Raw genomic sequence first — 13,304 nt, forward strand, 5'->3', positions numbered from 1 at the left:
ATTGACACTAACAAAAAACGCTACAGAACAATATCTGTGATAAATATAGACACAAAAATCCTCAATGGAATACTAGGAAATGTAACCTAGCAACGTATAAAAAAAGATTATATGCCATGACCAAGAACACCTATCAAATAAATGTAAGGTTTAACACAGAAAGTCAATGCAATGTATCATATTAATAGAATAAAGGATAAAACCTGTGTGACAGCTCAATAGATGAAGAAAAAAGCATTTAACAAAATCTAACACAATGAGGCACTCAACAAACTAGGAATGGAAAGGAATTGTCTCAACTTAATAAAGGTTATATGTAAAAACCCCATAGTTATCATTGTACTTAATGAAGAAAGACTTAAAGCTTTCCCCCTAGGATCAGGAATAAGACAAGCATGCCCCTTATTACCACTGCTGTACCCATGTTTCCTTTGTTAGGTTTTCTGAGCCATGGGGCTCCCCTGTGCAGAGGATGGAGCTAGCAGACAGTCCTCACCCTGCCCAGACCCCCTAGAAGTAACCAGGGGACTTTTGGTAACTGAAAAAGACCATAAAAGTCATCCAAGAGGGAAGAAGGAACTGAACCAGTCCCATGGCCTGGTTTTGAAAATGTAATGAAGAGAAAATGAATAAAGTTATTTGCTAGTTGTGCTCCATGAGTTTTTTATTCAATGTAATAATTTTGTGTGTGTCTTCAGATAAATTACATTATATAATACCAACCTTGTAAACAGCCTCATCCTCTGTTTTACAAACTTTCAAATACTTCTCAACAAAGAGGTTGATGTAGCGTTGTCTTACTTCATCAGGTACTTTGGATAAGAATTCTGATGTTACTGAATGTCTTTTCCGATGAGCCATCTTGTTAAATGTATCTTTTGGCCTCTTGTTAAAAATAAAAGTGTTATTAGAGAAAAGAAGACATGTTTCTGTTTAATATTCCTACTGAGTATATGGAAGAAGTAAAACTACCTTAGGTCAGTTATATCAAAATTAAATTGAAAAGTAATTTCAAGTGTCAAGTTGAAGAGGTAGAATAAACACAAAGTATAAAATTACTTAAACTCACAAAATGGAGAAGTGAGACTGCCACATCTGTGCTGCTACCTGCACGTACGCAATGATAGCTGATCACTCATCTAATTGTACTACTGTTCCACAACCAGATTCCTAAAGCTGGGATTTGCTCCTCTGATTCAAATATAGCAAAGTTTGTAGGTTGCCATCCTTCAACTATGTATCCCAATGTCTTTCTGATAGCACATCATTAAGAAAAATGCTTGGACTTAAAATTTCTGAGTGACTTGAGTATACTTAATATTAAAGTGATCCCAGCTATAAACTCTTAGCATTTCTTCTGAAGGACTTATAAAAAGACCCAGAGAACTTTAAAATCAGTTAATCTGCTTCACCTTTGAGGAAAAATAAAACCAAGCCAACATCATACTTCTCAGTAATTGTTTGCATGTAATACAAAGACATTTTAGGGATGGAGAAAACCTTAAAACTGCCAGGTGGTTTTCTGCTACAAAATAATTGGAAAACAGGGGAGGAAAATCACTGCCACAAGTAGAATAAGAATTACTTAAAGAAGGCTACAACATCATATCACTGATGGCATTATTTAGTAAAGAGCTGTCTCTGTCTCATATACATAAACAAATATACACCCTCACTGGACACAGCTTGAAACTTTCCTTTTAAAAAATGTTGAGTAGGTTTCAATTAACCATAGCCATAGATGTTTTAAGTCTAAAACAATGCCTACTATTTCCAAGGATAGAATCAACAAAACATCTAAGAGTGACACAAATTACATCATAATGAAAATAACTATATTCATCGGTAAGCTAAAAAATGTTGACATTTTTCTCTATTGGGTCTGGCATTTATCTGAATTTGAAAGCTTCAGAAAAAAATATAGCCACTCTTCCAGGGACTCTATATGTAAGCAGGATATGATGAAATATAATTCTGGTGTTCAGACTTAGTTTATAATACCTAAACAGAAAGAGAAGCAATACTTTTGACAGGAATGAACGATTTGGTTGGTTTTGCAGTTGGGTTTTCTCTTGAAAGAACTACATTCAGATGAAGGTCCATTGTGAGTGAATATTCTAAGAAGTTTTCATGAACAAGGAAAAGAAAAGATAAATTTTAATGACATTAACCTCAGATGATTAGAGTTTAATCATTAATTCAAAATTTCACAACACTTCCTTTATAGGTTTGAAACATGCAACCTGGAAGAAAACAACATTCAAATGCAAAAAAATCCCAATAACCCACTCCAGTATAATTCAGAAGAATGAATTGAGATAATTGATAAAACAATTGTAAAATACTTGCAAAATAGTACTACTATTGTGTATCATTTAGAGATAAACAAAGTATTGACTGGGAGTGGTGGCTCATGCCTGTAATCTCAGCACTTGGGGGGCCGAGGTGGGTGGATCGCTTTAAGGTCAGGAGTTGAGACCAGCCTGGCTAACACGGCAAAACCCCGTCTCTACTAATAATACAAAAAAAGAAAAAAAAAATTAGCCAGGTGTGATGGATGGCACATGCCTGCCCAGCTACTCAGGAGGCTGAGGCATGAGAATCACCTGAACCTGGGAGGCAGAGGTTGCAGTGAACCTAGATTGTGCCACTGCACTCCAGCCTGGGCCACAGAGTAAAACTGTGTCTCAAAAAAAAAAAAAAAAAAAAAAAAAAAAGATGTAGACAAAATATTTAAATATCAATCATATTATTTCATGTAAAACTGTGCCATTGATTCAACTATACTTGGTAGCATGTGGATTTTTAAGAAATATTTTTTAAAATGAAGTAAAATTCCATTTCTTAAATAAGTGACTTTTTTTTAAAAAAAGCTTTTTTCCAAACCTTTCCTTTGGCTCTGAGAGGCTGGACATGTAGATGCATTTTTCTTCTGTTCTGAAGTGGCATCAATAAAAGCCTTCCCATTCTTTATGGCAGCCTTTATCTGTACTGCTTTGCTGGGCCCGAATGATTCCAGTGGGGCTTGTTAGCAGTGGGACTGGTACCCTGAATGGTCTAATGACCTCTTTATTGGTTGAGGCCTATAGGGCAGCAACATAAAACAAATGAAAATGATGAAAAATTGATAAAATTGATAATTTTGCCTTTCTTCTATCATAGAAGCTCGTTGGGGGCCTTACAGCCAGCCACACAGTAAATTGACCACATTTGTAACGCTGATTGTGATCCAATGCATGCATAGTTGGAGTATCCCCAGAAATAAGGAAATAATAAAACTGAACAACTACTGAAACATAATTTAAGAAAGTTTTAACTAAAAAATTAAATTTCATACAAAAGTGATACTTTGTATGTAGACAGAAAAAATAGAATAGCTAATAAGACATATCTACTAAAGTTATTGGACTTCAGAATTAAAGGAAGAATCCTTTGGATAGGCAGACAAAAGTATCACACGACTCAAAGGGTGAAATAGCAGGCAAGCAGACTTCTCCACAGCAACATTTGTTATAAGAGAATGGAACATGGGAAAGAATGTTTAGCTTCACTAATAATTAAAGAAATGTAATATAAGATAAGGCAATAAAATTTTAACCAGATTTGCAGGCTTTAAAAAATTATAATGTGCATCGTAGGTAAGGGTTTGTGGGAAGAGAACTCTGAAACATTGAGAAGGACTATAAATTGTGAAAACCCTTCTGGAAGGCAATACAGTGACAATAAGATTTTTAAAGAATGCTTTAAAAATCTTAAAATTCTTTATCTTTAGTCCAATTATTTCAACTTGTGAGAATTTTAAGGACAGTTATTTACAAAGCCAAAAACTATTTATATACAAGAATTGGGGAGGGGGTAACAGGGAGTAGGTGGGACTACAGGCACGCGCCATCACACCTGGCTTTTTTTTTTTTTTTTTTACATAGCACAATAAAATTAAAACTATAAACACCACAACATTTGCAGTTAAAGGGAAATAATGTTAGCCACCAAAAAAACTTTGTAAGAAATAAGAGGAAGGTAACTAGCATTTATTAAGTACTTATATATTTGACCCTGGGGTAGGCACTCAATTTTCCTTTCATAGATAAGGAAACTGAAGCTCAGAAAAATTAAATAACTTGCCCAAGGACACCCAACTATTCTATGAAGAACTGAAATTCAGGTTTTCATTTGTGATTTGGAAGTATAGACTCTGCCATGCAGAAAGTTTATTAAATATCTTTTTTTTTTTTTTTTTTTTTTTTTTTTGAGACGGAGTCTCACTCTGTTGCCAGGCTGGAGTACAGTGGTGCGATGTCGGCTCACTGCAACCTCCGACTCCCTGGTTCAAGCGATTCTCCTGCCTCAGCCTCCAGAGTAGCTGGGATTACAGGCATGCGCCACCACACCCAGCTAATTTTTGTATTTTTAGTAGAGACAGGGTTTCACCATGTTGGCCGGGAGGGTCTCCATCTCCTGACCTCGTGATCCACCTGCCTCGGCCTCCCAAAGTGCTGGGATTACAGGCATGATATATGACGCCTGGCCTAAATATCACTTTTTTAAACACAAAAATGTTAAAGGAATACTACTCACTGAACTGCTTCTTCAATTTCTTTTTTATGTCATAAAAGAACTTCAGCACTTATAAATTACAAAAGTTTATAATTATTTTGAAAACTAAAGTCGATTCTTGTTATTTCAGGTAGTTATACTCTGTAAGTCACCACAAACTCAGATTTAGTGAACACTGAATCCACTGCTCCTAAAACAAACAAACATGGGGTTAGGTTCAGGTAAGTCTCTGGTCACATTTTTTTTTTTGGTCAATCAAAGTATCACCTTGCTTTACATATGTGTCATGTTTACAGACATCTCATTTAATACCCTCGTGGCCAACAGCACTAAAACTCATGCCTGAACAAAGTTTATCTAGCACATATTTTCTCTGTAAGGCACATCACATTCTTTTTATGCTTAGGAGCACTAGACAGCACTACAATGAGCGGCAATTTTCAGCACAAAATCACCAACAAAAAGCACACAGATACAAAAAAACCTGGCACTAAACGGACTGCAAAAGGACATTTTACATTATGTGAGCTTAAACAAGAAGGCTATCACCTTCTTCAGCCTTAACTGGGAATGTGCATGTCAGGCAATTCAAATTTTTTGCCACTCTGCGTTGTCTGTGAATGATCTCATAAGCACAGCAAGTCTTGATTTTAAGGTTACACGTCAATTTTACTGAGTAGGTGAATTCGCAAATTTGGAATCTGTGAATAATGAGGATCGACTTTTAAAATTTATGGTTAAGAGGCTACCCAATGATAATATACCTGCTTTCAATGAAAATGTTAGATCTGTGGGTGGGGTGGGGAAACGGACAGGAAAATGCTAACAAGCAGGAATCAATGTACCGACTGCCAGTAAATTGTGCCCCCTAGTGGACAAAAGGATAAATAGTCCTAGAATAATAAAACTGGAAATAACAAGGTATGCACTTTATATAAAGCTTTGAGCAGCGGGGAGATGAGGAACTAAATAATTCACATCAAATTTGCCAGAGTGTGCAATTCTCTTTTTTGGTCCAGATGTGTTTTTGTAATATAACATATCATCCTTTTCTGAAGCCTAGTGGAAAAAAGAATTATCCAATTTCAGCACAGTAAAGGCAAATTTAGCATGTTTCTCAAAAAGCCATAGGAATCTAAGCAACAAAGTGTGGACAAATTTTTTAATAAAAATTCACAAAAAACTGAATTTGAATAGTTTTACCTGTGTAGATTCCTATAAAAGAATCCTCTAGGCCGGGCGCGGTGGCTCACGCCTGTAATTCCAGCACCTTGGGAAGCCAAGGCAGGTGCATCACTTCAGGTCAGGAGTTCGAGACCAGCCTGGCCAACAGGGTGAAACCTCGTCCTACTAAAAATACAAAAATTAGCTGGGTGTGGTGGCACGCGCCTATAGTCCCAGCTACTTGGGAGGCCGAGGGAGGAGAATTGCTTGAACCTGGGAGGCAGAGGTTGCAGTGAGCCGAGATCGCCTCACTGCGATCCAGCATGAGCGACAGAGACTCCATCTCAAAACAAACAACAACAAAAAATCCTCTAATTTGAGAAGTCAACTATAAGTTACTGTATATAGTACTATGGCCTCTGGAAACTGTCAACTCTGCCAGACACTATGGCTGGCCACTTATCAAGGCTTTTGCCTTGTCACTCCAATATGTTATTGATCAAAACTATTAGAATATGTGTATTATGTAGGTGTATATTGTATAGAATTTAGAACAAATATAAAATATGTATTTAAGCAAAACTCCATTAGATTTAAGAAAACAATAAAAGAAAAAAAATGCTAACCTGTTTAGCAGTCTTTTCCTTATGAGATTCACTTTCAACGAGCTCATTAGAAACTTAAAGACATTCTTTCATAGTGTCATCAGAATGAGAGGAGGTGTCATCTTCAGTACAACCATTATCAGATTTGATTGGATCAGAACCAAATTTGGCTAATTTGCTTCTTCAAAAGTAATGAGGTCTTGATTATTACCTTGCATTCTTGGCACATTGTCTTTTGCAAGGTCATCTGAATAAGAAATGTGGAACTGGCTTGGTGAATACCAACATTTAATTTCTTCTTTTTGTGTATCATAATTTTGTTTTTACCTGTTTTTTGTTCTTTAGGTAACTTTCTTATTACAACTTTCTTTCATTATTTCATTGCCATTGAGAGGTGCAGAAGATGAACCTCCTTCTAAAATACAGTCATGGCTTTTTTCATCCCCAAATTTTTCCTTCTTAGGTACTGTTTTAAAATGATATAAATTTACATTAGTTTTAATACCTGGGGATGTTTTCATGAGCAATGTAGGTAGTTGTAATTTGTTACTGTCATCATCTATTTGTGTGGTTAGTTGGGTTTTATCTGTTTTTTTCTTCTTCTGTGCCACTAATTTTAAGATTTTTCTCCTCCGGGGGCGTGATATGTGTCCATTTATCCTTATAATGATGTTTGAAGCCTCTACATAGTTTAGATTTCTTAGAAGTAGGCATGACTGGAGGTACATCTATTATAAGATCATCTTCAGATTCTTAAAGATCTGTTTTACTTCTTATTGGTGAAACAGAAGGCCTTTGGCTCTCCAGGGATGTGTGGCGACCTTCACTCACAGGTGTTTTCAAGTGGCAGAAGTGCTGTTGATCAGCCTCATCCTGCTTTGCTTTAGATGCCCCAAGTACCTCCGCAGAATAATTGAGGAAAGGATCATATTCAAGATCAGTCTCTGGACATCTGAGGTCCATCACATACTTTCCAGTCTGTCTTTGTTCTTTGATGGTGCAATTCACTTTTCCTCTGGGAGCAGGCTATTTTCAGGAAAATCTTGCCTCACATTTGTGTCATTCAAGGAGGCCACAGGGCTTTGAGTCAGTTCTTCAAGTGCTAAAGTTCATTTGGAGATCCTCTTCTGCTCTTCTTCAACCTCAGCCTTGACTAACTCATTTTTTCTGTTCTAATTTTTCCATAGTTATGTCTAGGACTGTCAGTAGAAAATAAGTTTTGTTTTATCATTACAATCATGATGAAATGCAGATTCTAGAATACCCTGGAGAAGTAGCTTCCTATCAGAAGGACATTAACCCTTCCAAACCCAGTTTTAAATACAGGAGGTAGTTTGCTAAGTGATCAGTTCTAGATGGAGAGTGAGAAGCCAATGGCTATCACTGTTTAAGTTTTCCAAATGTCTAGCTCATTCCCATGACTGATTAAAATACATTTACACCTTATTACTAAGGTGACTATACATCAGTAGGACAGGCCTTGTTTGTGCTTAATTGTTTGTGTCAAACATGACATACTTTGGATAGAAAATATTCACCTTATTACCAAGCAATGACAATTTGGAAACTTAAAATAACTGAATACCACTTACACAGAACTGTATATAGTCTTCTCCACTGGCACATCTCCTCTGTCCACAAGAAAAATGTATTTAAAGCATTAGTCTTTCCTTCCTTTAGTGAGTCTCAACATTCTAAGGTCCCTGATATCTATAGAATGCTTCAAGCACAAAATAACCCCCAGCCCTTAACAACCATGACAATCTAAGAATTGACAGACAAAACTCTAGCTAGATCTACACTACTGAGGAAACCCAGGAGAGTGACAAGACATAGGCTTGAAGTAACAGCTGTCCACAACACCCTGGCAGCTCCTTCCCTAATTTTTACCAGGATAAATACGACCTCTTCTCTCTTTCCAAGATACACTTTCCTGTATCAATTACAGGATAACTTATACCTTCTCCCAAACAAGAGATTTCAGATCTGAGACGTGGTCCCAATTATATTGTTTTTTATAACTCTGAATTTATTTTAGATAACCTACATGTGTTGTTAACACACACATGCTTCCTTTTCACATAATAAGCTTTTTCCTGGCTCAACAGTCTTTCAACTTACCATTCATTTCCTATTAAGAAATTAACATGATTGAAATCCAAAACAATGTAGTGGAAATGTGACATTTTGATAGATGGGGAAGGAGAGGCGCACGCACAAGAATGAGAATTATCTTAGGATCCAAAGATAAAGGCCTGGATCTAATTTCTCTTTAAATTTAAGGGCAGTAAACTCCAGATAAGCAGGTGGAAGTGCCTTTTGCTTAAGCTGGGTTTTATTTGGTTGCAATGATTTAGTAAGGGCTGTTACATAGTGCTTTGGGGGCACTACTGAAAAGACATGATTATACTTTCCTTCCATGTCACGAACAGTGTTAAGTTTTTCTGTTTCTGTTTTTTAACTTCACCAGAAGCTAGATTTGGAGCGTTAATTTTGAAGTTTGAAGGCATGCTTAGAATCTTTTCTCAGGCTAGAGCTGATTGGCAACAGCTCCTTTGATTGGTAATTATTCCTTGCCTTCACCAGAATTAACAGAGGCCTAACAGCCAGTTTTCTTCCTGTCTTTTCCACCTTTCACAAGAGCACAGGAAGCTCCTTATAGTAATTCCACCTTGGGGATGAGTGACGGAGAGAGGATACCTTGCACCTGTTTCTTAACAAGCAGCAAATCTTATGCACGGCATCCTAGGTACCTTCCTAGGATCCTGCGTTCCCAAGAAATGCCATTTACTGGTCCTCGCAAAGAGCTCACGCGCCCACGCAAGCCCCTCGCCCACGACTTCCTGACCTGGTGACTTTGGCCCTGCCCCCATCTGAGCAGCGCGCTGGTCCACCCACCTGGGGCACCGTGGAGCCCCGCAGGCCCAGCAGTTCTTTCGGTTACTGGGGAGCTGGTGCCCGCTCCTCCTGAGGGATGGAAGAGATGCTCTTGACGCCTGCCCAAGCCAACCACCTTTCCAAACATCTCTGGGACAGCTTCCCTCTACAACCCAGTGTTTCAGGAACTGAGGGACCACCCAAAAGGCCTGCAAAAAACACCGTCAATCAGGACCCCTGTAGCACCCTCACTGTTCGGCATGTTTAGGACGCTCTTGTGGCAGGAGGGAGGAAGAAAGAGGGAATAGGGGCTAGAACTTAAGGCTGCTGCTCCTGGGTGTGTGATGCTGGGAAGACTTACTCCTGGTCACTTTAGATGGACTTGGCTGCTAGTTCTAAGGCGAGTGCTGGTGCTTCTTTCCCGTCACAGCCAGTCCGTAGGAACTGATCCTAGGTTCCTTTGGCAGTAGGGAGGTAGATCAGGAGGACTTGCTTTTCCAGCACCAGTAAGGCTCCTGCTGATCAAAAACAGGATGTAGCAGAGAAAGCTGCCAGAAACCAGAAGACGGCAAGGAAAGCAACCTCTGCTCTCAATGATCATTATTAAAGACACTCCCACCAGAGCCGTGGCAGTTTACAAATGCCATGGCAATGCTTGGAAGTTCCCTTTTATGGTTCCAGGAACTCCCTGCCCCTTTTCTAGAAAATTTAAAATAACCCGCCCCTTGATTAGCATGCAATTAAGAGTGAGTATAAATATAGCAGCAACCCATGCTGTAGCTCCTGCTCTGGGCTCTCCATTTGCATAAAATAATGACACTCCCACCCGTGCCAAGACAGTTTACAAACGCCATGGCAATGGCAGAAAGTTACTTTATCTGGTTCCACAAACTCCCTGCCCCTTTTCCAGAAAGTTTGTGAACAAACTACCCCTTACTTAGCCTGTAATTGTAAGTAGGTATAAATATAGCTAAGCCGGCAGTCCACAAGTGCTGCTCTGCCTGAGGGAGCCCTGCTCTATGGAGCCACCACTTTCGCTGTACAATGTTACTCTTTAAAAACTTGCTTGCTTTCACTGTTGGCTGGCTCTTGAATTCTTTCCTGAGCAAAGCCAAGAACCCTCCCGAGCTGAGCCCCGGTTTTGGGGTTCACCTGCATCACTGTGAGTAGTTAAGGTAGAGGAAAACAAAGCAGCAAAATACACCTACGGGGATGGGGGAACAGAATTGAAAGTCCCCTTTGAGGTTTTGGGGAAGAGGATGATTAGGGAGCATCAGCAACAGGAAATAAGAGGGAGTTTCAGAATGGGGGAGAGACTGATAGGCTAAAAAGGAACCGGTTTTATGATGCCTTCCAGGGCAAGCAGGTCAGAGGTCCAGAAAACCTGTTCAGAAAATGAAGGTTTAGTTATGGATGGCATAGAGGGTCAGCAGTGAGAAACAAGAAGACCTCTCCCAACCAGCACTGGCTGTGAGACCCTCTTCTCACTTTTAGAGCAGGAGAGGGAGGAAAAGAGACCACACATACCAGTACCTCCTGACATTCTTCCTGTGCCCACTCCCCTTCCATCCCCCTCAAAATACCTTCACTGCACTTTACAAGGCAAACTATGCCAACGGTCTAAGGATGAGTAGCCCATTTAAAAATATATAGCTAACATATCTCTTTTGGCCATTTTAGATATTGTAGCCAGAGTAATGCTGTACTCAACTTTGTACAATGCTTTACTTTAGTACCAAAGACAAGTACTACTACTACTAGTACTACTACTACTTTTTACATGATTGAAAAGTGGCTCTTCCACCCCTTTCCAATCAGGAAAATTCTTGGTACCTCCTAAGGAGGGGTGGAGAGAAAACGTGGGAATAGTTGGTTATCAACCTCGCTCCAAGCCCACCTGATATTCTCATGTCCCTTTCTCACCTGTGGACTCAACACAACTCCTTTGCACCTGGAGCATCTCCAAGCAACTGCAATCACCTCCCTCACTTTTCCACCAGATCTGCAGGTGCCTGAACTGGCAGTACAAATGCTGGCACCGATCCCTGGAGCTGTCAAAAGGGCACAGAGAAATGGCAAAATAACCGGCAGAGAGTAGCATGGGCTGCTGCTCCAGGCCACCTCCACTGGCTCAGAAACTGTGAGCACTGTTGCCAGAGAGCAGGCAAAGGTGAGCGCCTGACCTACTGCCTTTTCCCTCAAAGGTGCCGTCTTTTATAGCCCATCACTATTCAAAGGCGGAGCTTCGTAGCTTTCCCAACCAATGGTGAGTGAGACTGGGCGGGAGTCTGCGGCGAAATTTGGGAGTGAAGGACTCTAACAATGGATAGTAGGGGAAGTGGCAGGTGAGAGTAAAATGTGTGTTTATTCTCGTGAGGAAGAAGAATTATAGATACCCAAGCTAAAGGAAAGGAAAACAGTTTCCCAAGAGCTGAAAGAACACCTGAGTTAAGGAACCTTATGTGTCTTGGGTGCTGGGCCTGTGTTGATCCTAAAGACTTTTGCTGCAAGTCTGACTATTCACCTTCATGGATCATGGAGAGAACCTCAGATTGGAAGCACATCACAGCAGGTGCTCTTAGGCAATTTATCTGATTTACCTGAACTTCTGTTTTCTGATCTGTAAAATAAACTCACCTTTCATAAGATAGTAGAATTTAATGTGATACAATGTTCTAAAGTGCCTATTATAAAGTAGGTACTCAGTAAATGAAAGCTATTGGTATGGTAAGAATTGAAGAGGGCAATGAAACATGCCCTAAGTTCTTCTCCCATATCCATACATATCCAGAAAAGACATGATGCATGTCGCTAAATCCCTCCACTTGAAACTAATTTCTTCTTTTTTTTTCTTTCTGAGATGGAGTTTTGCTCTCTCGCCCAGGCTGTAGTACAGTGGTGTGATCTCAGCTCTCTGCAACCTCTGCCTCCCGAGTTCAAGCAATTCTCCTGCCTCAGCCTGAGTAGCTAGGATTACAGGCGTGTGCCACTACACGTGGCTAATTTTTTTTATTTTTTTAGTAGAGACAGGGTTTCACCATGTTGGCCAGGCTGGTCTCAAACTCCTGACCTCGTGATCTGCTCACCTGGGCCTCCCAAAGTGCTGGGATTACAGGCATGAGCCACCGCGCCCAGCCGAAACTAATTTCTAAAAAGGAAACTTTATCCCTATTTTCTGTCTTTGTAAATTGAAATACTTTTGGTATGGATAGCCACAAAAGTCACTAATAAACTTGAATAAGTCTTTGAAAAGCATTGCTTTTCTTTCAGTGAAACATAATAATCCTGGATGCCTGGGGGAAGAGAGAAAGAAGGGCACTTCAGCTCTAAAAGACTCAAGGTCCATGAGTCCCCAGCTAGGAAATTACCTTCTGGAATTCCCCTCTTCCTCTCTCTTCTTCTGGAACACTGTGTTGTCTCAAACGATTATGGATACTTTAGAAATGGAAAAATATGGCCGGGTGCGGTGGCTCACACCTGTAATCCCAGCACTTCAGGAGGCCAAGGCAGGCGGATCATGAGGTCAAGAGATCAAGACCATCCTGGCCAACATGGTGAAACCCCATCTCTACTAAAAATACGAAAAGTAGCCGGGCGTGGTAACGTGTGCCTGTAATCCCAGCTACTCAGGAGGCTGAGGCAGGAGAATCGCTTGAGCCCGGGAGGCAGAGGTTGCAGTGAGCCGAGATCGCGCCACTGCACTCCAGCCTGGCGACAGAACGAGACTCCCTCTCAAAAAAAAAAAAAAAAAAAAGAAAAGAAAAGAAATGGAAAAGTATCTTTTCTTTCTTACCTTTTGTCATGTGAGAGCAACCCCTGACGACTTTTAAACAGTTCAAGAATGCTAAGAGTTCCTACCATTAATTTAGTTTCATCTCTTGATGGCACAACTGTTTTGTCAATAAAACATGAACAGGTGTGTTCTTTTTGCTTCAGCGGTGGTGAGGGGGCGCATAGGCAGTGGTGAGTTCCCTGATGTTCTCAAAATGCCCCTGGGGAAGGTAAATATCTAAATGTCCTTGTTTTAAAGTGAACCAGCCTAGAGAAAATATCTTTCAAAGTCACTCTCCAGGAATGTTTTTACTTGATGAGTTTCTCACA

General features: G+C 39.9%; 1 pseudogene across 1 annotated transcript in view, besides 1 other annotated feature; it reads right to left on the minus strand.

Annotated features, from left to right (window-relative positions):
- Window positions 1–11,590, minus strand: part of REXO6P (RNA exonuclease 6, pseudogene) — a 37,110-nt pseudogene extending 25,520 nt beyond the window's left edge. Inside the window, exons 1-9 of the transcript NR_026679.1 lie at window positions 11,127–11,590; window positions 9,565–9,721; window positions 9,225–9,412; window positions 7,158–7,525; window positions 6,348–6,573; window positions 5,761–5,907; window positions 4,579–4,747; window positions 2,887–3,083; window positions 724–885 (exon numbers count right to left, since the gene is read on the minus strand). The product of NR_026679.1 is annotated as an RNA exonuclease 6, pseudogene (transcript). The remainder of the gene's footprint in view (window positions 1–723; window positions 886–2,886; window positions 3,084–4,578; window positions 4,748–5,760; window positions 5,908–6,347; window positions 6,574–7,157; window positions 7,526–9,224; window positions 9,413–9,564; window positions 9,722–11,126) is intronic.
- Window positions 8,702–9,203: an enhancer, noted in NCBI's record as "H3K4me1 hESC enhancer chr9:27279903-27280404 (GRCh37/hg19 assembly coordinates)". NCBI's record gives its function as "activates a minimal SCP1, AML or CMV promoter by ChIP-STARR-seq in naive H9 embryonic stem cells {active_cell/tissue: H9 hESC(naive)}" and the evidence as "EXISTENCE:reporter gene assay evidence [ECO:0000049][PMID:30033119]".
- Window positions 11,591–13,304: the final 1,714 nt, after the last annotated feature.

The sequence above is a fragment of the Homo sapiens genome, chromosome 9 (assembly GCF_000001405.40).
Source record: "Homo sapiens chromosome 9, GRCh38.p14 Primary Assembly".
In the NCBI taxonomy this organism is placed as follows: Eukaryota; Metazoa; Chordata; class Mammalia; order Primates; family Hominidae; genus Homo; species Homo sapiens.